This window comes from Homo sapiens, chromosome 5, assembly GCF_000001405.40.
Source record: "Homo sapiens chromosome 5, GRCh38.p14 Primary Assembly".
Lineage (NCBI taxonomy): Eukaryota > Metazoa > Chordata > Mammalia > Primates > Hominidae > Homo > Homo sapiens.
In genome coordinates, this window is record NC_000005.10 from 12,639,119 (window position 1) to 12,665,898 (window position 26,780).

At 35.9% G+C, this 26,780-nt stretch overlaps 1 long non-coding RNA gene across 1 annotated transcript in view, besides 1 other annotated feature; it reads left to right on the forward strand.

Moving 5' to 3' along the window:
- The window catches only part of LINC01194 (long intergenic non-protein coding RNA 1194), a 230,327-nt gene that overhangs the window by 64,262 nt on the left and 139,285 nt on the right, over window positions 1–26,780 (forward strand). The window lies entirely within an intron of this gene.
- Window positions 22,519–22,813: a silencer, noted in NCBI's record as "tiled region #1944; K562 Repressive non-DNase unmatched - State 23:Low". NCBI's record gives its function as "represses a minimal TATA promoter and a strong SV40 promoter by Sharpr-MPRA in K562 cells {active_cell/tissue: K562}" and the evidence as "EXISTENCE:reporter gene assay evidence [ECO:0000049][PMID:27701403]".

The following is a 26,780-nucleotide window of genomic DNA, read 5'->3' on the forward strand; positions in this document are numbered from 1 at the left end:
TTTCGTTCAAGGAGCACAAACAAGTGAGTCTCTAAAAAATTCCAAGAAAAAATGAAGAAGAAAAATAAAGCAAGATGTGGAGGGGGGAGATCAAGTGGTCCCTTGTTGATGTGGTCAGGGTTGACATTTCATTTGAGTTTAACTGAAAGTTACTACCTACTCGTGAGCAGGTCGGAATCATGATGTAATTTTTATTTTTAAAAAGATCACTTGGGATGATGTGAGAAGATAACACAGAGCAAAGAGTTGGACCAATTAGGACCAACCTGTCATTACTAAAATGTTGATAGTTTGCTGAGCATGTTTTCATGAGAAAGGACGTTTGATTTAAAAAAACAAACAAAAAACCATACTGCACTAAAAGATTAAATTTGGCATGCTTTAAACTTTACACCTGAGGGAAGTACTTCACCCTAAATCTGGCCCTGATAAAACGCAGCAGTTTTAATGATAGACCACATAATCTAAGCTGATTAAAAAGGAACTTGAGGATGTTAGTGTATGAGTGACAGTGAGAATGCGGTAGGACCTTTCTCTCTGTCTGCCCTTAACATTTTTTCCTTCATTTCAACCTTGGTGAATCTGACGATTATGTGTCTTGGGGTTGCTCTTCTCGAGGAGTATCTTTGTGGTGTTCCCTGTATTTCCTGAATTTGAGTGTTTGCCTGTTTTGTTAGGTTGGGGAGGTTCTCCTGGATAATATCCTGAAGAGTGTTTTCCAACTTGGTTCCATTCTCTCCATCACTTTCAGGTACACCAATCAAATGTAGGTTTGGTCTTTTCACATAGTCCCATATTTCTTGGAGGCTTTGTTCCTTTCTTTCTTTTTTCTCTAATCTTCATGCTTTATTTCATTAAGCTGATCTTCAGTCTCTGATATCCTTTCTTCCACTTGATCGATTCAGCTATTGATACTTATGTATGCTTCATGAAGTTCTGCTGTTTTTCAGCTCAATCAGTTCATTTATGTTCTTCTGTAAACTGGTTATTCTAGCTACGCAGCCACAAAAAAGGATGAGTTCATGTCCTTTGCAGCAAACTAACACAGGAACAGAAAACCAAACACCGCATGTTCTCACGCATAAGTGGGAGTTGAACAATGAGAACACACAGACACAGGGAGGGGAACATCATACACTGGGGCCTGTCGGGAGGTGGGGGGCTGGGGGAAGGATAGCATTAGGAGAAATACCTAATGTAGATGACGTGTTGATGGGTGCAGCAAACCGCCATGGCACGTGTATACCTATGTAACAAACCTGCGTGTTCTGCATGTGTGTCCCAGAACTTAAAGTATAATTTTTAAAAAATTAAAAATAAATAAATAAATAAAATTTAAAGAGTGAAAAAAATAGATTGAATCTAAATGATGTGGTTGTGATTATTTAACATCTTTCTTCCTCTTAAATTTTTGCAATGACATGTATTATTTATATAAACAAATTTTTCAGTGTACTAGTAAATTAATTTACTTGATTCATTAAAAATGCATTTTTTTCTAAAAATTAATATAATCATTTAACAATACCAGGGTAATGACAAATTGAATAATTCTTTCAGTATATTTTTTCATAAGTTGTTCACTAGAGGTGAATTAATTCAGAGATCGATATCTTAGTTCCAGATCTATTTCCACTTATTTAGCCATCTAGGTGTCATATAAAACAATGAAAGTAAAATTGACAAAGATCCCACCTGAATGAGTGCTTTCCTAAACTTAATAAGTTTACAAGTCACCTGAGGATCTTATCAAAATGAAAAACTGATTTATTAGATCTGGGAATGGGCCTGAAATTCTACACTTCTTACAGCCAACCTTGACCCAATGCTGTTGGCTTATGAACCACACTTTTATTACCATGTCGCAAGATAAAAATTCTTCTGAGATCCTACTCTGGATTTGGAGACAATGTGTTTAGTTCTAAAGGAACAGGTGAAAGTTAACAGATAAATTTGACCAAACAAATTATATCAAACATTCATCTGCTAAGCTGAAAGTAGTCTAAATTTTGCTATAATTTTATGCACAGGAGATAGTGCTATGTCCTGGACACCCCTTCTGCATCACTTATAAATAATTGGCCTCAATTTTCTCTTTTATTCCAAGCAGTCCAGTGACTAGTTTCATACACCTTCCTTTCATCTCCAACGTGAATTATGGCAGCACTTTGCCACAGGAGGATTTTGTGCTCTTTGCTTCCATATTAAAGGATTCTCTGTTAATGCAGTGTGAGCTTCTGAGGGAGACTGTTCTGCACCATACTTATGAATCAACAGAGTTAAAGCTCTAGAGGGTGAAGTTTTCTAGACAATAAGGAACAAGAGCCAGTAAACAAATAGTTTTCCCATTCTGTCTTGCGGTCATGGATCCAACCAATAGTCACCCATAGCAGTGGGTCAAATTGAAGATGCATCCTTTATTGTATTCTCTTTCGTTCTTGCTTCTTTCCTCCAATTCTTATTCCCACCTCTGGGCCCACAGTTGTCAATAAAAAGACTTGTAAACAAGGCTTTGCCTCTGTACTGCTTTCCGTTGAGCCCAGGCTAAGAGGTTAAATGATTTAGTTTGTCCAGGATAAAAAGATTACTTATCTAGATTACTTCCCTACATGAACAGGGAAGATCAATATTTCTAAGGAAATTGTGTCCAGATTAAAGAGTATTGCTTTATATAGTAAATCCTTTTAAACACATGCCACCTTTAGTTAGTTACAAAATAAAAAAAAAAGTTGATTAGAATTACACTATTTCCTTAGACTTTTGGTTTTGGTGGCATTTTAAATTTAAAGCTCCTTACTACTTGTGACTCTTAACCGCCCTGACTTTGAGAAAAAATTTCTCTACCTAACATCTTTGAACATTTTAGTTTGCATTTGCTTTGAGGTTTATTTTATATTTTCTGGCATCAAACTATCCCATTTTCTTATTATGCTGAGTCCCATTAGCATTTCACTTTAATTTATTATGTTTGATAGCATTAATATTCTTTTTTTCATTGACTTGTTTTGATTGTAAATTTAGTTATACTGTAGGTGTAATAAAAGAAACAAATACAAAAACGAAGAAAAAATAACATTACTGAATAATGTTTATATCTAGTTAGTATACACTGATAGGCATCTCCTTTATATTGATACCTGTGCAAAATGAAACCTTTTATATTTTCTTGATAAAATAGCTAGAATCTTCTTCAGAGTTATTTCCTGCTTTTGTTTTATTTTTATATGCTTCCATTACCCTTGTATACAAATTATTTCCTGGATTGCCAGTTCCTTGTTAACAATTTTCCAGATGACTGATTAAGAAGTTTCTACAGGTTTGAAGTTGCATCAGACTTTTCATGCAATTGGCTACCACCTTGTGATTTCCATGTACTGCTGACACAAGATATTTCTTGCCATTAGTCTGTTTTTCCCCTTAGTTGTATACCAGACTTTGCATAGGTCATCTGTTTAAATCTATAAAATAAAATGTGAAATGTAGCATCTCAATAACTTTTCCCAGCTTTCATTAAGTAGCATCATTCATCATCTATAATGGCATCATTTTAAGTACTAAAACGCAACATATTCAAACAATGAACACATGAATAAAAACAAGAAATGATTTATTTGAAAATAAACTCTATTAAAAGCATGCAGTTAAAATGTTTAGCATAAACATTATGACCACTGCATAATCATAAACTTTTACTGAAATAAGTAACTATAGGTACTAAACTAAATTAAATTCAGTTTACTCATATATACTCACTCTGATATTTTTAAATATTATTCTGGACTTGGTTATATATTCTGTCCTTAATGTTGAGAATGGCACAAACCTAGGCATCAACAATTATCTTTAGCTACCCTATGTTTTTATAGGGTATTTAAAAACTCTATCCATATTTATCTTCTAAGTGATTTAATTCAGGATCTGAACTTAGTTGCCTGATGACCAAGAAACTAATTTATCATACCCTTAATATTATTGTAGGATTGGTGATCTGAATTCCTCATAACAGCTAGAAAGTCTCACCTAAAATTAGCGTATTAACAAAATTCTCAATACGAGGAAATATCAAGAAAATTAAGAAAATCACAGAATTAGGGCATGCATTTTACATATGTCAAAAGAAAATGAAGAGATGGGATTACATGAAAGAATAAGAAAGTAAAGAACCATATATGTGGAAGTTTAACAATAATGTGTAGATAGAAAAAGGGATAAAATTGATTAAGTGAAACAATATTTATTACAATTAAAATAATTGTAGATGGAATAAGTTCTAGTCTTGAAAAATATAAGAGAAAGTTTAAATTATTTAGAGAATTCTCAAAAAACACAATTCAAATACCGAAGTGTTTAAAATATGTTAAAAATGTTAAATGAAATAGAAAGCACATTTAACAGCTTGAGAAAACATCTAACAGGATTCCTAGAATGAGACACTAGAGGAAATTGTGAAGAAACTGGCATTTGAAGGGATAATAAAAGGAGGTACTTTCTTAGTGATAATTATTCAGGTGTGAAGAAAATAATGAATCCTCAGAAACAATGAGTTCTGAATACAAAGAGAAAATATAAAAATAAATCCATATCTAGAGGGCAGGAAAATGTGGAATACTAAAAATGAAGAAAACTTGGTTAAAAATACTGAAGGAAAACATGGTGTTGTCCTCCAAAATGAATAACAGACTAACAGTTCACTTGGTATTAGGGAAAATACAGTACAAAATAGAAGTATAAGTGCTGAAGGGAAACTGTGCTATATTACGTATCCCTACTCAGCTAAGCCATCAGAAAAACCCTTCTAGACATTGGCTTAGACAAAGAGTCCATGGGCAAGAACCCAAAAGCAAATGCAACCAAAACAAAGATAAATAGATGGGATTTAATTGAACTAAAATGCTTCTGCATAGCAGAAGAAATAATCAGCAGAGAAAATAAACAACCCCCAGAGTGGGAGAAAATATTACCAACTATGCATTCCACAAAAAACTAATATCCAGATTCTGCAAGGAACTTGAACAAATCAGCAAGAAAAAAAATAATCCCATCAAAAAGTGGGCTAAGCTCACACGTGGGGGTAGCTTACTGCCTGGGGTACTACCCTTGCCCATGCCTCTAGCTACAAAACAATTCAATTGTTGTTTTTGTAAATAAAATCTCAGCTAGCTCTGCCAACTGCCAAAAGAAAAAAAGAAAAAGTGGGCTAAGGACATGAATAGACAGACCATTCTCAAAAGATATACAAATGGCCAAGAAACTTGCTCAGCATCACCTGTTATTAGAGAAATGCAAATCAAAACCACAGTTTGATACCCCCTTACTCCTGCAAGAATGGCCATGATAAAAAAAAATAGATGTTGGCATGAATGTGGTGAAAAACGAACACTTTGACACTGCTGGTGGGAATGTAAACCAGTACAACCACTATGGAAAGTAGTATGAATACTCCTTAAGAAACTAATAGTATAACTACCATTTGACTCAGCAATCCCACTACTGAGTATCTACCCAGAGGAAAATAAGTCGTTATATGAAAAGGGCACTTGTACACACACTTATAGCAGTACAATTTGCATTGCAAAAATATGGAACCAGCCTAAATGCCCATTGATAAATAAGTGGTTACATACATACATAGTGAATGTGACATCAAGAAGACACAAAAGGAAAATGTCAATATCAATTATATATTGGTTAGGAAGGATTCATAGACATATAAAAAAGAAAGACTAATGGAATATTTTAACATTAACTATATATATATTTATAAATTTTATTGAGGTATAATATTCATAAACTAAAACTTTCTTAAAGATACACCCCATTACAAGATATATAGTATTTATAGAATCATAAAAATTCCTCTTGTTTTCCTTCCAGTAAATATTTCCCCAAAATATAACCACTCTGACTTCTACAAACACAGAGTAGGCTTGCCTGTGTTTGAAATTAATATCATAATATGGTAGATTATACTATTTTTATCTGAATTCTCTTGTAGATCATTGTAACTGTCAGATTCATTCATGTGTTGCAGTACTGTGGTAGCACATTCATATTCATTCTTTTGTAGTAATGCACAATATAAAAAGCACAAATTACTTCCTATAATGTTGAGAAATATTTGGGTAATTCATGTGTTCATTGTGAATAAAACTGTTGTTCTTTTACCATTTTAGCCATCATTTGTGATTTTCAAAATTTTTAATGAAGTTTAAATAATCAAATCTTTTAGCATGTCAATACTTTTGTTAACTGCTAATAAATATTTGTCTTCTTGAAAGTTGAAGAGATATTCTTCTCCATTTTCTTCTCAAAACTTTATCATTGTACTCAACATTTTGGTCTACTATTCATTTTAAATTGATAACTCTGTGTAGTGTAAGGTAGTAATTTAGATAATTTTTTCCCAAAGTAGGAATCTAATTTAAGCATTTTTTAAAGCATTTACTCACTGCACCACTAAATTTCAGGAGCAAATCTGTCATAATCAGGTGATATTATTTGTGTGGTATGATTGTGTTTCTAGATTCTCCACTAAATTTTATTGATATTTATACTTGTTTGTATCAATAGCATTTTTAAATTGTACTGTTATTTTATATGAGTTCTTATCTGATACTATATTCTGCAACATTGTTATCCTTCAGGACTGCTTTCAGTTTTTAAGTCCCTTGCATTTTTATTGCATCATCTTATCAATAACTGCCAAAAGGAAAAAAAATCAGTTAAGATTTTAATGGAGTTTTGCACCAAAAGCAATGGCAACAAAAGCCAAATTTGACAAATGGGATCTAATTAAACTAAAGAGATTCTGCACAGCAAAAGAAACCACCATCAGAGTGAACATTCAAAAATGACTTCATCAGATGAAGTGTTTCCTCAATATGCCAGCAGTCAACATTATAATTAATAATAATATTGTAAGCTTTGACCCTGTTAGTTCAAGGACATAATGAAGACTTACATTTCTGAGTTATAATAAACATTGTATTAAATGTCCTAACCAGTTCAATAAGAAGTGAATAGAAATAAAAGGCAATCATTTTTGGAAAGAACAACATAAAATTTTCGTCGTTTGCAGACTATTAGTTTTCTACCAAGAAAATGCAAAAGAAAGCACTAATTATCATTTAGATTTAATAAGTGAATTTGTTAAAAGTCTTTGGATACAAGACAATTATATAAAAGTCAAGTTCGTACCTAGTAACAACCAATAAAAATTAGAAAGTTTAAATTATTCCAATTTAAATAGCATGCAATATATTTAAGAAAACAGTAATAAACAGAATAAGTTGTACAAGTCTTCTCAGAAAACTGGAAGTATTACTTTTGTACATATTAGTTATACTGATTTTTAAATACTGTCTATGATAACTCTAAAATATGGATCATCCTATGGCCTCTTCTTTACTTGTACTAAAAGGAAGAAGTCCTTCTCAGATATGAAGCAGAAGTCTCAAAAATTAAAAGATTTTTCTAAGAAATTCCAACATAAAATGGGTAGGGAAAAAATGTTCAAATCTTTTGATATAAAGCAAAACAAACGAAATAGATAATTATCAATAAGATAAAAGTTTAAATTGGCAGCATACTTCTTATCAAAAACCCTGGCTGTCTGTAGAAACACAAGCCAAACTTTCAACATCTTTATTACACATACAATTCTATTTATAGCAAAAATGCACTTTCAATACATGTCTGCATGTGTGTTTGTGTATGTGTGTGAGACAGAGAGAAAGCCAGAGGGATAGAGAGAGAGAAGGAAACAGATTAGCATATTATCCAAAGTTTTGTGGATCCAGTCAAATTTGGACTTGTCAAAATTAAACACACACTCTCTCAGACACAGAAACACACACATTAAATAACAGTGCATAAAGATGGAAATTGTAGTTGTTAATATATTTGGTTAACAAAATTTAAACACATCATAATATTCTATGTTGATAAGGGTGTGTTGAACTCAGGAAATCTCAACTTGATAAGCATTTGAGAAATACAAGTTGTTAAATATATATTTATAAATATAAATAAATATATATTTTTATATATATATAATAAATATATATATGTTTGATTACACCTTTCTTTTACCCAAGTTCCATTTGCTTAGAAATTAATCTTATTGAAATAGTCATATGTTCTAATCATTTGATCAACTCTCTTCATTCATAGCTATCCATCAAAAACATGCCATCCATATCTGATTCAATGGTCAAAATACAGACATGGTTTTGGATGGTGTATTGTGTATATTTTACTAATAAGTATAGGGAGAATAAAAGCAAATCTGTAATATTAAGTAGTAGTAAACAAGAAGAAACTAATCTAACTAGGAAGTAGTAGAGATTTAGCTAAAGTGACAGTCTTAGGTGGAGACCTAAATTAAAGAGTCATTTTGGCCATGTAATAATAGCATGTTAACATGTGGTGACGGGGTGGGAGAAAGAAGGCATGAGTGGCTTATCTCAGGTCCAGAAGAAGCAGGGTGGCTGGGTGTGAGGGGCTATGAGAGAGAATGATATGGTTTGGCTATGTCCCCACCCAAATCTCATCTTGAATTGTAGCTCCCACAATTCCCATGTGTTATGAGAGAAACCTGGTGGGAGATTATTGAATCATGGGGCAGTTTGTCCCACATTGTTCTCATGGGAGTGAATAAGTCTCACCCCATCTGATAGTTTCCCCTTTCGCTTGGCTCTCATTCTCTCTTGCCTGCTACCATGTAAGACATGGCTTTCACCTTCCGCCATGATTGTGAGGCCTCCCCAGCCACGTGGAACATGAACACGAGTCCATTAAACCTCTCTTTCTTTTCTTTTCTCTTTTCTTTCTCTCTCTGTCTCTGTCTCTCTCTCTTTCTTTCTTTCTCTTTCTCTCTTTCTTTCTTTCTTTCTCTTTCTTTCTCTCTCTCTCTCTCTCTCTCCCTCTCCCTCTCTCTCCCTCTCTCTCTCTCTCTCTCTTTCTTTCTTTCTGACGGAGTCTCGCTCTGTCACCTAAGCTGGAGCGCAGTGGCACCATCTAGGCTCACTGCAACCTCTGCCTCCCGGGTTCAAGTGATTCTCTTGCCTCAGTCTCCCAAGTAACTGGGACTACAGGTGCCCGCCACCACACCTGGCTAATTTTTTGTATTTTTAGTAGAGATAGGTTTCACCGTGTTAGCCAGGATGGTCTCCATCTCCTGACTTCGTGATCCACCCGTCTTGGCCTCCTGAAGTGCTAAGATTACAGGCGTGAGCCACCGTGCCCGGCCGAAACCTCTTTTTCTTTAAAAATTACCCAGTCTGAGGTATATCTTTATAAACAGCGTCAAAACTGGCTAATACAGAGAATAATGGAAGCTGACGCTAGACAGCAGGCATGGAAAGGAAAGTAATGCCTGGTCACCATCACAAAGAGTTCTATTAGTTTCCCAGGGCTGCTAAAGCAAAATTCTACAAACTGGCTAGCTTGCATAAGCAGAAATAGTTCTATGTGCTAGATTTCTGAAATTAAGCTGCTTGCAGGGTTTGTTTCTACTGGAAACTTTGAGGAAAATCTATTCTATGTCCTGCCCTTTGCTTCTGGAGATTGCAGTCAATCCTTGGCACGTAGATGCATGGCTCAAAATTCTGTCTCTCTCTTCACATGGCCTCTCTGTGTGTCCCTTTGTGCCTCTCTTTCCAAATTTATCTCTTATAAGGACATCAGTCATTGGATTAAGACACATATTGCACATAACCAATACATGATTACAACTATACAAACCCAAATTCCAACATACCCTTTTGGGAGACAACATTCAATGGGATATCCTGCATGAGTTTTAAGTCAGAAAGTAATTTTCAAATATTTATATTATTTATTTAGAGCTGAATTGTATTGAGCTGGAACAGAAAAGCAAGACTGAAAGAAAAAAGGCCAACTAGATTACTTCTGAGGTAAATGATAGAATTGGAGAAAATAAAATAAGGTAGATAAGTAGAAGTGTAGAAAAGAAGAAAAAGTTAAGATATATTTGGAGATGAAATTCAAAGGACTTTCTTTAAAGAGATTAAGAGAGTAAGGAAATTAAGGAATAATAACATATGTATCTATGTATATATAACTATGTTGTTTACTGCACAGTCTTTAGCATAATGTGATTACTATTAATATAGATGTCTATCCACAGAAGAATAGTTAAATTTATTAGTATATAGTCCAACTAGAGAATACTGCGCACTCTCTGAAAAGAACAAAATGTCCTACAGATAATGGCATAAACATAGCATATCTTCCATATTAGTTACTAGCTGATAAAAGAAAAATAAAATGGACATAAAATATAATATTTATATACATGTGTATTTTAATTAAAGGACATCATTAGAAAATCTTAACAATGCTTTCTTTTGAGTATGGAACTGGATTAAGAAAAAAAGAGAAGGCTTTGAAATTTCTATTTACATTATTTCTTTATTTTGTCGGCATGTTAAATGATGTATACGTGTATTATGCTTGGAATAACAAACAGATGCTGCTTTTGTTATTTTTATAACATGATCATTTACCCAACTTTATGGTTTAACCCTAAAGAGTTCAATTCAGTATATTTCTTAATTCCATAAAATTATACCATGTGATTCATTTTACTTGATTTAACAAATAAAAATATAAATACATTGTAATTCATTTTTGGTAAACCATTTCACAAAAGTGTGGGGAAATTAATTTGGGAATTACTCTCCTCATTGAAAAATATCTCATTTGCTAAAATAAGACAGTAAAACAGTACAGTTTAAATATTTATAAAAATAGGAAAGTTTGGCAAAAAGAGAGGAGTACACACCTGTGACTACTGAGTTGCTGTGAAAATTTCATTTCCTGATACAAAATTGTCTAAAGCACTTGGCTTTTGTTCAGTCACAATCCAAAGAACAAAACCAGCCAAGTTTTATATAACGAACATCTAGTTCCCTAGAGCCTTGTATCAGAAAACCTACACAACTTTTTGAATTTTCTAGTTAAATTTGCAATAAAGTTGTTAAATGTTTTTGGGTATATAGCCCTCAAATTCTTAATTTGCTTCATACATTGCATTGGGGTTAAAATTCATAGTGTCAAAATCAGCTCCTTTCTTACATGTGGTATAAAATTCTGTCTGATGTTTGTCTGTCTAGCTCCTATCCTATCTAACACCTATCTTACTTGACTAGATCCTTTATAGGTACCAATAATTACATTATATTTTTAAGGAAATTTTAAATTCACTGAAAAGAGCTGAAAGAAGGACAAAAGCAGAAAGGGAGAAATATATTATTTTACATTGAGGACATATTTTGAAATGCTTTAATTAGTATGCAGCAGGAAGGTATAATAACAGCTGTAACTTCCTTGATTGGTGAAATGTCACTCCATAATACAAGTTTATTTACTTTTCAATTATTAATTGAAGAGTCTTATCATTATTTCATCCTATTACTGATGAAACCAATTACTAAACCTATTACTAAAACCAATACTAATCTAACATCAAACTGATGGTGAATTCTATAACCTTATTTGTGGTTCCAAATCTTCACCTTTTAAAATTTTATTTTGCATCGTGGCCACTTCCTTTCTCCTTATACCCAGGACAGTCATGGAAATTATTTCATTTCTAGGCCTATGATAGGAAACATAAATTTTATTAAACAAGAATGTCCAAAAGTACTTAGAAAGTTTCATGTTATTGATCTCAGTGATGATTACATGGTTGTTATCATGTTGTGAAAAATTTCTGCTGCAATATATTTATGATTTAAGCTTTATTTTTCATATGTGTTGTGTATCAATAAAATCTTTACAGAACGTTATCATCCAATTAAACACCTTATGAAATTAGAAAATCACACAAGACTGATGGATTAAGATTTAAGGGTGAAAATCACAGGAAGGCTTGATGATTTGAAGCTTTCTTTTCCCTATTGTATTTGTTATCTGAGACACTGAGAATTGAGACTTAGCCAAGGCAGTTGGTCTATGCTGGAATAGAAGAATGAGCAGAGTATATGGCTTTCTGTCTTCCAAAAATTCACTAATATTTTTCTCTAGATAGGAAACCATTTTATCTTTACAACTTTCTTGTGAATTTATTATCTTGATATATCATTCTTGATATTTCAATGATGTTTCTAGATCATTGTAATTGCTGCATATCTACTAAGTTTTCTATTTCTTTAGGTTCATTTGTATCTTATTCTTGAAAATTTTCTATTAGAATTGTGTATTTTACTCCTTAGAGTGTTTTCTCTTAAACTTAAAAAAGGTGTTCTTTAGTTCTTTAGCTTATCTTTCAGGGCCTTTTCATTTTACCCACTTACCAATTTCTATGCTTATTTTTCTTGTTGGTTATTATATTAATACAATTTAATTCCACAAATTAGACACTAATATTTTATCATTTGTAACAAACAATACTTTTCCACCATAAAATCACAGTTTTTCTTATGATTCATAGTCTGTCTAATAAATGGCATAATGTGAAGACAAACATTCCCCTAAGTCCTTTTGGGTCCTTAAAATAATTTATATAAATGTCATATCGTTATAGAAAATATGACATCAGATTTTTTCAAAGTCTTTAAATATCTTCTTATATGTTACTTTTCTCATTTTTATACTTGATTCTACATGAGTTATTGGAAATTACCAAATATCTTGTGTACTGCAAGTTCATCATCTAGGATTGAAACAAATGTTGGGGCTTATAGATATACTGTTTACAAGAGTGTGTGTGTTTGCATGTGTGCACGCTTGTATGTGAGTGTGTGTTTAAGCCTCATTTTCATCGGCAATTATAGAAACATTTTTCAGTGAGAGGCTTAAGGTGTTTTTCTGCATTTAATCCACAGAAATGTTTTTCTTCTTACTTGGTAACTTATAGAATTGCTAGTATTTCTGTCTAAGGGGAGGATGGAAAATAAACATAGAATCATCAGTGTGTTCTACATGATTGTACTGCTGGTATGTCTACCTTATAAAAATGAGAGACAAATTTAGCTTCTGGCTCTGAGTGTGCGTAGAGTTCAGAATAACATTTCTATTAAAATATCTTCAAAATTGAACAAAATATTGGAAACATTTTTCTTATATCAGACAATAGGCAGTGTAGGGCTACGATTCTTAAGAGACAGGAAGCTAACAAAGTAAGCTCAACATTTTCCCCAGACATTTTGGCCAAGGACAGTTCTACACAGTAGCTAAAGGAGGAGGGACTGGAATAAAAACCAGCAATCTTGCTGAGTGGAGCAGACAGAACACAAAGTTAAGGGAAAAGAAGAAAATGCGGAGAAGAAGTGTTCCAAAAATCTTCGTAAGTTTGGCCTTGAGCCTTTGGCATGCATAGAGTGAAATTCTACAAGGGAAGACTAAGAAAATGTTCCTGGAAAATAATTATGAGGGAGTTATAATTCAGACAATTCCCAGAGCTCATGGATGGCAACAAACCTTTGCGCCCTCACTAGCTGGAGAATAGAAGGTGGACTAAATACAAGCAATATTGAGTAGAGACCACTATGCTTGAAAAAATAAATTAATATAAAATAAAATATTATCTCTTAAAAAATAAGACATTTAAAATTTATTGTCTTTCCTATGGCCTTTGCCAGTTTTTGAAATTAACGTGCCAGCTTTCATAAAGTTGGAGAAATATTTGTTTATTATTGAGAACATTTTTCCAAAAATAATTTTTATTTCTGGAATTTTTAAATTATTCATACACAAAATTTTCTGCAACTGTACATTTTAAAGCCATATTTTTTTCTTCAACTTTTATTTTAAACAAATTTACTTTTAAAATTCTTGGCTGGCCATGGTGGCTCACGAATGTAATCTCAGCACTTTGAAATGCCAAGGTGGGAGTATTGCTTGAACTTAGGAGTTCATAACCAGCCTGGGCAACAGAATGAGACCTCATCTCTTACAAAAATTAAAAAATAAAATAAAATTCTAGTATGTGGCTTCAATATGTTCACTCTAATTACATTAAGTAAAAGATGAGAATATGCCCACATTTATGCTTTCTTCTTTAAAAGTTTCCCTTTCTAAATAACCACACAAGAGATCATTTTCCCCACATGTTAACATGCTCTAAGATATAAGTCTAAACTGTTATAGTCTAAATTGCATTTGTATAATCTCTCTCTGAAAATATTGACTGATTTCTGCTTTAAAATTATTATCATAATTATCATGTCATGTATTATCACCAAATTCATTTGATGGTATCACCAAATTCATTTGGTGATAATCATTCTTTTTAAATAGTTAAACCATTCTTTTAGTCGTAATTCAAAAAAGATACTTGCACACACATGTTTATAGCAGCACAATTCACAATAGCAAAATCGTGGAACCAACTCCAATGCCCATTGATCAACAAGTGGATAAAAAAACTGTGATATATATATATGATGGAATACTACTCAGCCATAAAAAGGTATGAACTAACAGCATTTACAATGACCTGGATGAGATTAGAGACTATTATTCTAAGTGAAATAACTCAGTAATGGAAAAGCAAACATTGTATGTTCTCTCTAACATATGAGACTTAAGCTATGAGGACCCAAAGGCATAAGAATGATACAATATACTTTGGGGAAGAGTGGGAGGGGGGGCGAGGCATAAAAGTCAACAAGTATGGTTCAGTGTATACCGGTCAGGTGATGGGTGCACCAGGATCTCACAGATCTCCACTAAAGAAGTTACTCATGTAACCAAATATCACCTGTATACCAATAACTTAAGGAAAAATAAAATTTTAAAAAGAATTTTATATACCAAGTAAACCCAGGAAAAAAAGGTAATAGTACTTTTTTTTTTTGGGCAGAAAAAAAACCCGAAAACACTCTTTTAAAATAACTAAACCATTCTTCTTAAATAGTTGTTACATTGTGAGAAAGAGGTGATGAATAATTATAGCATATCTCATTCTGTGCACATTTGCAAAGCTGTTGCTTTTGATCCTAAGGATGATACCTTACTTTTATCTTTAGTTTTTTTTCTGATTCTGCTGAGATGTGTGCATTTGTTCTTTTTCATGTTAATTTGAGAAAAGTTTTAATTCCCCGTAGTGAGGGTGAAATTATAACAAACACTCATGTATATTCTAACTAGAATTAAAAATAACATTAAAATTTAACATGTTTAACTAAATCTGCTTTAATAAAAATTACAAATTTTACAGACACAGTCAAAATAGTTTTAAAAATTCTTCCCACATTCTGTTCCACTCCCTTTCACACTCTCCCAAGCATCACTATTCTTAACTTAGGCTGTTTATTTCTAAATGTTGTTAATATTAAATTCTATTCCTTATATATTCATTAATAATAGATACGTATATCTTATATACAAGTGTTTTTATTAAATTTACATTGAACCTGTGGTATTTAAAGTATAATCTGGTGACTTGTTTCTTGATCAACACTTGACATTGAAAATCTATCCATATAAAATTGCCAGTTCATTAATTTCAACTGTTGTATGACATTAATGATAATGCGATTTATTCATTCATTCTCCTAGGGATGGCTATTTTTGTTACTTCTGAATTCTACTACAAAAGAGTGCTGCAATAAAAATCTTTGAACAAGTTCTAATGCCGTTCAACTGGAATTGAAGTTTTCAATCGTTGGATATGTCAAAATTTAATCAGATTGTATATTGCTCAATTACTTTCAAATTATGTACACCAAGTCATTCTTGCTCTGGCAAAATAAGAATATTTTCATTAATATATCATTCAACTTGAAATTGCCCAGCTTTTCCTTCTCATTTCCCCCCAGTCAAATGAGTTGAATTAATACTGTCTAAAAATATATATTCATTTGCTTACCTGTTAGTATTTGTTCCATGTATTAAGAAGCTTTGCTAGTATATGAAAATATATGTATTACCATGTCTTGTGAATTAGTACTTTTATCATTTTGAAATGTTTGTTTTCATTTCTGCTGACCGTTCTAACCTGGGTATCTATTTTGACTGGTTTTTAATGTAACTACTAACATCTTTTTATGTTCAGCACTTTTTCACAATTTTACTTTCAATGTCTTTATTTTTAAAATGTATCTTCTGTAGACAGTGTACAGGTGGTCTTGTTTTATTGTAAATCAAGTGACAATCTCTATTTCATAATTGACATATTTAATCCATATATATTTAATTTAATTGTTGTTATTTTGAGACTTAATATCCAGTTTTACTATTTTGGCCCATTTATTTTTGGTTTATTTTAGATGTCTTGCCTTATCTTAGATTGATTGATATTTTTAGTATTTAATTACATTTCTTTTATAAATGTAATTTCTTGAATATTTGTTTTTATTTTAGCAATTGCTCTGGGAATATAAAAATCATCTTTAAAATCTATTTAGAGTTAATGGTACTACTTTATGCAGTAGGTAAAAACATTTCACTAGCACAATTTCATTTGCAGGCACCTAACCTTCTGTGATAGTATTGTCTTATATTGTTATATTTATGAGATACAATCACTACAGTAAAATACTATTTTCTATTCATTGTGCCATCTTATAAATAAACAGATGAATAAACAGATATTTTTGAACAACCTTTGCTTGCCAAGATAAAGTAACGGGCCAGAATTTCCTTTCCAATAGAAATCAAAAAACAAAAGTTTGAATAACATAAATGTCAACGTTTTCAACATCCACAAGACACCAGGCATAGAGGGGCAGTGATTCCTGATAGATGGAGAACAAGCAAGATGAATCTGAAAGGGTTTCTTCAACTTATTGCCTTTCAGCAAGTTTCTAGACCGCAGCATTGGGAAGAGAACTTAGAGAGAGCCCTGAAGACTCCTGGGTTGAAGAGATGGAGCTAAGATTCCAGGAAGACCATGGCAACTAGATCTAGTATAGAGTATCCATAACTTTTGGGATATACTGTCTCCCCTCCCATGGGCATTTGAAAGATTACTGATTGATATATTCATGTGATAAAAGCACCTGGAAGAATTAAAGGTAACAAAAGCACCTGGAAGAATTAAAGGTAACAACACCCAGGGCTATACAGGATATGGAATACTTCTTGTTTCCAATATCAAGTCTAGAAAACCTCTTTAATTATGTACCGTTGGTAGAATATTTAGAAGATTCCGATTGCAGTTGTGAGCAACAAGTAAGCCTTAGACGAAGCACAGATCAAATCACACCTAAAAATTTTAAAAGCAGGATGAACAGTGATCAAGTAACTTAACTTCATGCCAGAGAAAAGCAAAAGTATCTATCATTTATCTATATCTATCTATCTAATGTATATATCTACACACACACGTATATATGCACACAAACATATTTATTACTCAACAAGATAAAATTCACCACCTGTGACAAGCAATCAAACTTTACAAGGCAGGCAAAGAAGCTGGAAAATATGATCCATGCCAATGAATCAATAACAATCTGTTGAAACAGTCCTTCAAATGACACAGATGTGAGAAGTGGAAAACAAAGAATTTAAAAGTTATTATAATTCATTTTTTATGTCCTCAAATTAAAGAGTCATTTTCATTAGAAATAAACAAGAATAAAACTAGGAAAAAATTACAATATTTGAAATAAATAAACTGCATAGGGCAAATGCAGATTCAACATTGCAAAAAAAAAAGATTAATGAATATGAACACATAGCAGAAGACAAGGGGAAACAATACAAAACAAAAAAGTAGAGAATCAGGGGAAAACATTATTAAATATAATGAAAAATAATTGGCATATCCAAAGGGAGAATAAGAAAAAACAATTGGAGAAATGACAACTGAAAATTTCCCCGATTTGAAGAATATTGTAAATGCTTAGATCCAAGCAGTTTAATGAACCGTAAGCACAGAAGGAGGAGGAAGAGGAGGAGGAGGACAGTGAAAAGGACAGGGTGACAATTACACCAAGAGGGATGATATAATTTTTCAAATCCAGTGATAAAAAAATCTTAAAGAAAATTGATGATGGAAGACACATTTGTAAGATACTGTGAAATAAAAAAAGAATGTTAGCAGATTATGCATCAAAAGCAATGGAAGTGAGAAGAAGGTAGAGCAACACTTTCAACTCATAGAAAAAAGGGAAAGAAAAAGTCTATTTTAGATATCTGTATCCAGGAAATATTATATTTTAAAATAAGAATTAAAAAAAGGATTTGTTCAGATTTACAAAACTTTGTTCTGACGACAACAAAAAGGATTCACCACCCGCAGACCCACAGTGTGGGAAATGTCAACGGAAGCTCTTCAGGTGGAAGGCAAATGATATAAGATTAATTCAGATTTCCATAAAGAAATGAAGAGCACAGGAAAAGAGAACAGTGTAGATACATGCATAAGAATGTTTTCCAAACATTTAAATATCTTTATGACTTAACTTACTTTTTAAGCAAAAGTAATATTATCGATTAACTATACTCATTATAGCCTTAGAAAAACAAGACCTACAAATGTAAACATAGACATACACAACTTAGTACAGTAACTGTTTGTAAAGAGATACCTCACTTTGCAAATACGTACTAAAAATTCCTTTAAATAAATTATTTTATTTTATTATTACCTTTAATACTTTTCTACAAATAAGAATACTTAAAGATTAGAATCTCAAAATAATAATCTCTCTTGCTGTCAGTAATAAGCAACATATGTAATCTCCTAAATTATCCTTAAAGTCAAAGTGGAAAATATAGTTTTTGTAAATTTTTGCTAAACACTAGACTATTCAGTAATTTAACTCATTTACCAAAATATTATGTTTATAGTTATCTTTGATTTTACTATAGAGTATTTATTTTTTTAAAATTTTATTTTAGGTTCAGGGCAATATGTGCAGGTGTGTTATATAGGTAAACTCGTGCATGGGGGTTTGTTCTACAGATTATTTTGTCACCCTCGTACTAAGCCTAGTACCCAATAGTTAATTTTTTGGATCCCCTCTCTCCTCCCACACTCTAGCCTCAAGCACGCCCCATTGTCTGTTATTCCCCTCTTTGTGGCCATCTGTTATTATTGAGCTCCCACTTGTAAGTGAGAACATGCAGTATTTGGTTTTCTGTTCCTGAGTTAGTTTGCTAAGAATAATGGTCTCCAGCTCTATCCATGTTGCTGCAAAGGACATGGTCTTGTTCCTTTTTATGACTGCATAGTATTCCATGGTATATATGTACCACATTTTATTTATCCAGTGTACCATTGATGGGCATTTAGGTTGATTTCATATCTTTGCTATTGTTAATATTGCTGCTGATCATTAGAGAAATGCAAATGAAAACCACAATGAGATACCATCTCACATCAGTTAGAATGGCTATTATTAAAAAGTCGAAAAACAACAGATGCTGGTGAGGCTGCAGAGAAAAGGGAACACTTATATCCTGTTGGTTGGAATGCAAATTAAATCAACTATTGTGGAAAGTAGTGTGACTGTTCCTCAAATAAGCATTCTTATTTGTAGAAAAGATCTAGAAGCAGAAATAGCATTTGACCCAATAATCCCATTACTGAGTATATAACCAAAGGAATATAAATCATTTTGTCATAAAGATACATGCATGTGTATGTTCATTGCAACACTGTAAGGCATTTTAATTTTCATTCTGACTTGTCTCTTGATCTCCTCTATATTAAGTCATTTTTTCCTTCACTAATTAAAAATTTCATAAGTCAACTGTGTTAACAGTGATTTACAGTTTTTTTCTTTGAGGCACACATTGCCCATATTTCTCACACTTATTCTTTTCTCAACACTATCACTAATATTATTTTTCCTAAAATGAATTTTTTTACATCACTTTTCCCCATCAAAGGTTTTTTGGAGTCTTTTTCTAAGAAAGTATTATAATCTGGTCCCAACTCAATGAGTTGTCATACAAAGTGCATTGAGCGAATCTAACCACAATAGGTGCTTAATACATCCACTTAAACAACTTTATTCCCTGCCACTCCACCTCATATGTCATTTATTCCAAACATGGTGAGCTCTTCATAATTATCCGAGTATAACTCAAGGTCATCCCTTCTAACAGTTTCATGCTTTTTCACCTATTATTTTCTGTCTTCACTCCTACTTTGATCTTTTCAATAGCATCAGAAGAAGTGCTCATGGCCTTCCTAATTAGGCATAGTTATCACCATCTCTCGACTCCCTAGTCCTTTGCTTGAACAAAACCAAAACTGTGGTTTATTGGACCTTGCTAGTTGCATTTTCAACCCTAAAATCATTGTACATGCTTAGGAATAAGTCATTTCTGAAATTATGGCATGAGAATAACAAAGAATGTTATTTACGGAACTCAGTAGATCCTGGTTAGCCTTTAGAAGTGATCCCAGTGGGCTCCTTTATAAAATATATTTTTATCCATTAAATATTGACATCCCTACATCTGGCATTGCAAACTACACAACTGCAAGAGAAATATGGTCCTGTCAGTGAAAACAAAAAATGACTTTAAGATGTAATTTTGATAGGTTTTGGTACACGAAGGTGTCATGTGGCAGGCATTTAGAAAGTCTTTTCATTGATATTTTACTAAAAATTTGAATAGCTTATAAACGACTTTAGATAGTGTTTTTCCTAAGACATTTTTTAGAGCATGTTTTAGAAAGAGCGGATGGATAATCCTCCAACCCAGGTGACGCACAAGGGCCCAGGAGATCACAAGAGTTACAGGAAAACAGGATGTGAAGAGATGCCTCAGGTGTGTTTGAATTGTAAACACTTCAGCATTATTTAGGAGCACTCTAATCCACCCTTCTCAGAGAATTGCTGACACACTTCAGGTTAACCCTAAATCCTATTTTTAGCTTATTGAGAAATGTAACTTCCAGATGTGCTTTTGGTTATGCCAAAATTTTGCAGTGAACATATTTTCAGGCGGTAAAATTGCAGAAACGTGACTAACATTTTAAATGTCAAACAAAGTTCTGTCATGAGTGCATTGATTTTTTAAAAGTCTCATAGTACTAAAAGTCTTATATCAAAACCAAGTCCCTTTTGAAACCCATATTCTCAGGCCACACTCTGTTCCCCAGTTAGTGACTTTCACTGCTTTATTTTTACCTGTATATTTTAAACAATATGTTTATAATTTAATTCCTTATGGTACCCACTTTAGACGATATGCATTTATTTATTGGCCTTTAGTGGTTGAAGGATCCATCTTGTTTACACAGCCATTTCTCACCTTTACTTTCCTCATCCATCTAAAATTCAGCCCTATCACAATATTTGGTTTCACGTTATTATTGCATGCATAATTGTTACCGGGGGTCCTTGCTCCCAGAGATCCCAAGATGGCAGCGGGCCGCTTCCAAAATGGTGGCAGGCCGCTTCCAAGTGGTGGCAAGCCTCGTATACTCTGACCTGGGGTTCTTGGCCTCACGGATTCCAAGGAATGGAATCTTGGGCCATGCAGTGAGTGTTATAGCTCTATTAGAAGCTGTGGGTCATGGAAGAGAACCGTGGAACCCAGTGACTAGTGTTCAGCTCGATTAGGACGAACCCAGGCACTTAGCCGTGCAGGAACAATGGCAAGCCTTTAGCCCGATCAGGAGCGGCAATTGGCGCCTTGCTGGATCATGAGCACAGTGGACACCCTGGTGGATCCGGAGGGATGGAACTCAGCAGCGGGTCTGCGACGGCGGAAAACAGCAGTGGTGGACAGCCAGCAAAACTCAGCTTGAGCTGTAACAAGCACAGACCAGAAGAGAGCGCAGTTGCAAGATTTAATAGAGTGAAAAAAGAGCTCCCATACAAAGGGAGGGAACCCAAAGAGGGTAGCCGTTGCTGGCTCCAATGCCTGGGTTTATATCCCGATCATTGTCCCTCCTGCTGTGCTCTCAGGCAATAAATGATTGGCTATTTCTTTACCTCCTGTTTTTGCCTAATTAGCTTTTTAGTGAGCTCTCTTTACTACCTAATTGGTTGGGTGTGAGCTAAGTTGCAAGCCCGTGTTTAAAGGTAGATGCGGTCACCTTCCCAGCTAGGCTTAGGGCTTCTTAGTCGGCCTAGAAAATCCACCTAGTCCTGTCTCTCATTATCATGTTCTGTTTGACCATGTGGTCTGCTATGATTGTTCCTTTATTTTACAACTTATATTTTTTACTTAAATTAATAATAACTTTGATTTTTGATGTTTCTTTTGTTAGTTTAACATTTATCTGCTGCTAAAATACTTTGCAAGAATTGATAACCACTTAGAAATTACTGTCCAAATGAAACAGCTCCGTTGTTTGGGGTATATTCACTCGTTCTTGGTTTGGGTAGAGAAAGAATTCAGGACATGGACACACATGAGGATTTAGGAGCAGACGAGGAGTGGATTTAGGAGTGGAAAGTTTAATGGAAAATAATAGGAGAGAGAGAAAAAGCTTCCCTGTGCTGAGAAAGAGGGTTGCCCAAAAGAGGGCCTCCAGTTTGCGGAGGAAGGCAGACTGTTTTGTATAGAGACTAGAGGAGGAGGTAATTGGTTTACATAGGGTCCAGGGGATTGGTTTGACCCAGTGTTCCATCTACATAGCAAGCGAAAAGATTGGCCCTCTAACCCTAATCTTTTATTATGCAAATGTGGCCTCCATTCAGCCGCGGCCCTGATGCCTGTATATGTGGTTTTGAGAGCTGACAACATGCTAGCAGCCCTCGCTCGCTCTTGGTGCCTCCTCGGCCTCGGCGTCCACTCTGGCTGCGCTTGAGAAGCCCTTCAGCCCACCGCTGCACTGTGGGAGCCTTCTCTGGGCTGGCTGAGGCTGGAGCCGGCTCCCTCTGCTTGCAGGGAGGTGTGGAGGGAGAGGTGCGGGCGGGAACCGGGGGTGTGTGCGGTGCTCATGGTCCAGTGTGAGTTCCCAGTGGGCCCAGGCTTGGCAGGCCCTGCACTTGGAGTGGGCGGCCAGCGCCGCCAGCCCTGGGCAGTGAGGGGCTTAGCACCCAGGCCAGCAGCTGCAGAAGGTGCACCGGGTCCCCCAGCACTGCTGGCCTGCCCATGCCATGCTCGAATTCTCGCTGGGCCTCAGTTGCATCCCCGTGTGGCAGGGCTCAGGACCTGCAGCCCGCCATGCCCAAGCCCCCCACTGTGGTGGGCTCCTGCGTGGCCTGAGCCTCCCTGATGGGCGCCGCCCCCTGCTCCGTGGCACCCGGTCCCATCTACCACCCAAGAGCTGAGGAGTGCAGGTGCGTGGTGTGGGACTGGCGGGCCGCTCTGCCCACAGCCCTGGCACAGGATCCACTAGGCGAAGCCAGCTGGCGTCCTGAGTTGGGTGGGGACTTGGAGAACTTTTATGTCTAGGTAGAGGATTGTAAATGCACCAATCAGCACTCTGTGTCTAGCTCAAGGTTTGTAAATGCACCAATCAGTGCTCTGTGTCTAGCTAATCTAGTGGGGACTTGGAGAACTTTTGTGTCTAGCTAAAGGATTGTAAATGCACCAATCAGCACTCTGTGTCTAGCTCAAGGTTTGTAAATGCACCAATCAGCACCCTGTCAAAACGGACCAATCAGCTCTTGGTAAAATGGACCAATCAGCTCTCTGTAAAATGGACCAATTAGATCTCTGTAAAATGGGCCAATCAGCAGGATGTGGGTGGAGTCAGATAAGGGAATAAAAGCAGGCTGCCAGCTCCAGCAGCGGCAACCTGCTCGGGTCCTCTTGTACTGTGTAGAAACCTTGTTCTTTCGGTCTTTTGCAATAAATCTTGCGGCTGCTCACTCTTTGGGTCCGCACTGCGTTTGTGAGCTGTAACATTTACCGCGAAGGTCTGCAGCTTCACTCCTGAAGCCAGTGAGATCACGGACCCACCAGAAGGAAGAAACTCCAAACGCGGCCGAACATCAGAAGGAACAAACTCTGGACACACCATCTTTAAGAACTGTAACACTCACCGCACGTGTCCGCGGCTTCATTCTTGAAGTCAGTGAGACCAAGAACCCACCAATTCCGGACAGTTTTACCTGGAGGCTGCCATGATACTGGTAAGTGTTGTGACAAGAAAGAGAGGGCGGAAGATGCCATATTGAATGTACCTGGCTTCCAGGTATAGCTGCCAGCATTTACATATAAAGGCTCCTAGTTTGCATATCTATGCCTGTCTTCTCAGGCTGCTTTCTGTTAGGGAAGAAACGGTTTGGGGGCTGATTTTTATTAAAGGAAAATTCCACAAGAACTTTCACCCTTTCTAGCTGCCTAAGAATTATTTCTTAACTCCTGTATTACAAGTATTTAAACATTTTAAATGATCTGTCAGTGCTGGTTGGTTTTGTTTCATGATTTGTGGCAAGTCTTTCACCACAGTCACACCCTTTTCAATATAACGTGCTCACCAGAGCTGGCATTTGCTGTTATGATCCTTGGCTGGATGTTCTGTTTCATGGATTGCATATCTTTTTTATTTACAACCTTATTTCACTGGTGCATATTCTCTGGTAGCTTCCTGCTGGCTGTGGTTGTGCATAAAAGGAAGAACTGAATACTAGCTATCATGGGCCAAGTTATGTCTATACAGCAGCTTAAATGGGCTGTACCCTGTAGCATTCCGAGGACAGGCCTGAATTCTGAGAAGGGAAAGTGGTAAAAGTATTGTCCAGTCCTTTTTAAGTTGGTGGCTGAGCTTGGTAAGGTGTGTTTTTAAAAGACCTTTAGTCCATTCTACTTTTCTTGAAGATGGAGGACCGTAAGGGATATAAAGGTTTCACTGAATACTAAGAGCCTGAAAAACTGCTTGGCTGATTTGACTAATAAAGGCTCGTCTGTTATCAGACTGTATTGAGGTGGGAAGGCTAAATTGAGGAATTATATCTGACAGAACAGAAGAAATGACTGCGGTGGCCTTCTCAGACCCTGTAGGAAAGGCCTCTACCTATCCAGTGAAAGTATCTACCTAGACTAAGAGGTATTTTAGTTATCTGACTCAGGGCATGTTGAGTAAAGCTAATTTGCTAGTCCTGGGTGGGGCAAATCCTCGAGCTTGATGTGTAGGGAAGGGAGGGGGCCTGAATAATCCCTGAGGAGTAGTAGAATAGCAGATGGAACACTGAGAAGTTATTTCCTTGAGGATAGAGTTCCACGATGGAAAGGAAATGAGATGTTCTAAGAGGTGGGCTAGTGGCTTGTACTATAGCATAACCTGCCTTTGCTGGTGTGTGGCTATTAGGCCTGGTGGAACCGCCATCAATAAATCAAGCGTGATCAGGGTGAGGAACAGGAAAGAGGGAAATTTGGGGAAATGGGGTGAATGTCAGGTGGATCAGAGAGATACAGTCATGGGGGTCAGGTGTGGTATCAGGAATAACGTGGGAGGCCGGATTGAAGTCTGGGCCAGGAACAACGGTAATTGTCGGGGACTCAACAAAAGAGTGAGTATAGCTGAAGGAGCCGGGAAGCGGAAAGTGTATGCGTCAGGTATGAGGAAGAAAATAGATTTTGGAAGTTATGAGAACTGTAGAGAGTGAGTTGAGCATAGTTTGTGATTTTGAGGGCCTCTAAAAGTATTAAAGCAGTGGCAGCCGCTGCACGCAGACATGAGGGCTAGGCTAAAACAGTAAGGTCAAGTTGTTTGGACAGAAAGGCTACAGGGTGTGGTCCTGGCTCTTGTGTAAGAATTCTGACCACGCTAACCATGCCTAGGAAGGAAAGGAGTTGTTGTTTTGTAGAAGGTGCTTGGGTTTGAGAGATCGGTCAGGCGCGATTGGCAGGGAGAGCACGTGTGTTTTTATGAGAATTATACCGAGATAGGTAACAGATGAGGAAGAAATTTGGGCTTGATTGAAGTAATGGGGGCTGTCTGTGAAGCTTTGTGGCAGTACAGCCTAGGTAATTTGCTGAGCTTGATGGGTGTCAGGGTCAGTCCAAGTGAAAGTGAACAGAGGCTGGGATTAAGGGTGCAAAGGAATAGTAAAGAAAGCATGTTTGAGATCTAGAACAGAATAATGGGTTGTAGAGGCAGGTATTGAGGATAGGAGAGTATATGGGTTTGGCACCATGGGGTGGATAGGCAAAACAATTTGGTTGATAAGGCGCAGATCCTGAACTAACTTGTAAGACTTGTCTGGTTTTAGGACGGGTAAAATGGGGGAATTGTAAGGAGAGTTTATAGACTTTAAAAGGCCCTGCTGTAGCAGGCGAGTGATAACAGGCTTTAATCTTTTTAAAGCGTGCTGTGGGATGGGATATTGGCGTTGAGTGGGGTAAGGGTGATTAGGTTTTAATGAGATGGTAAGGGGTGCATGATCGGTCGCCAAGGAGGGAGTAGAGGTATCTTATACTTGTGGGTTAAGGTGGGGGGATACAAGAGGAGGACGCAAAGGAGGCTTTGGATAGGAAAGAAGGGCGGCAATGAGATATAGCTGTAGTCCGGGAATAGTCAGGGAAGCAGATAATTTAGTTAAAGTGTCTCAGCCTAATAAGGGAACTGGGCAGGTGGGGATAACTAAAAAGGAGTGCTTAAAAGAGTATTGTCTAAGTTGGCACAGAGTTGGGGAGTTTTAAGAGGTTTAGAAGCCTGGCCGTCAATACCCACAACAGTTATGGAGGCAAGGGAAACAGGCCCTTGAAAAGAAGGTAATGTGGAGTGGGTAGCCTCCGTATTGATTAAGAAGGGGATGGGCTCACCTTCCACTGTGAGAGTTACCCGAAGCTCGGCGTCCGTGATGGTCTAGGGGGCTTCCGAGGCGATCGGGCAGTGTCAGTCTTCAGCCGCTAAGCCGAGAAGATCTGGGAAGGAGTCAGTCAGAGAGCCTTGGGCCAGAGTTCCAGGGGCTCTGGGAGTGGCTACCAGGTGAGTTGAA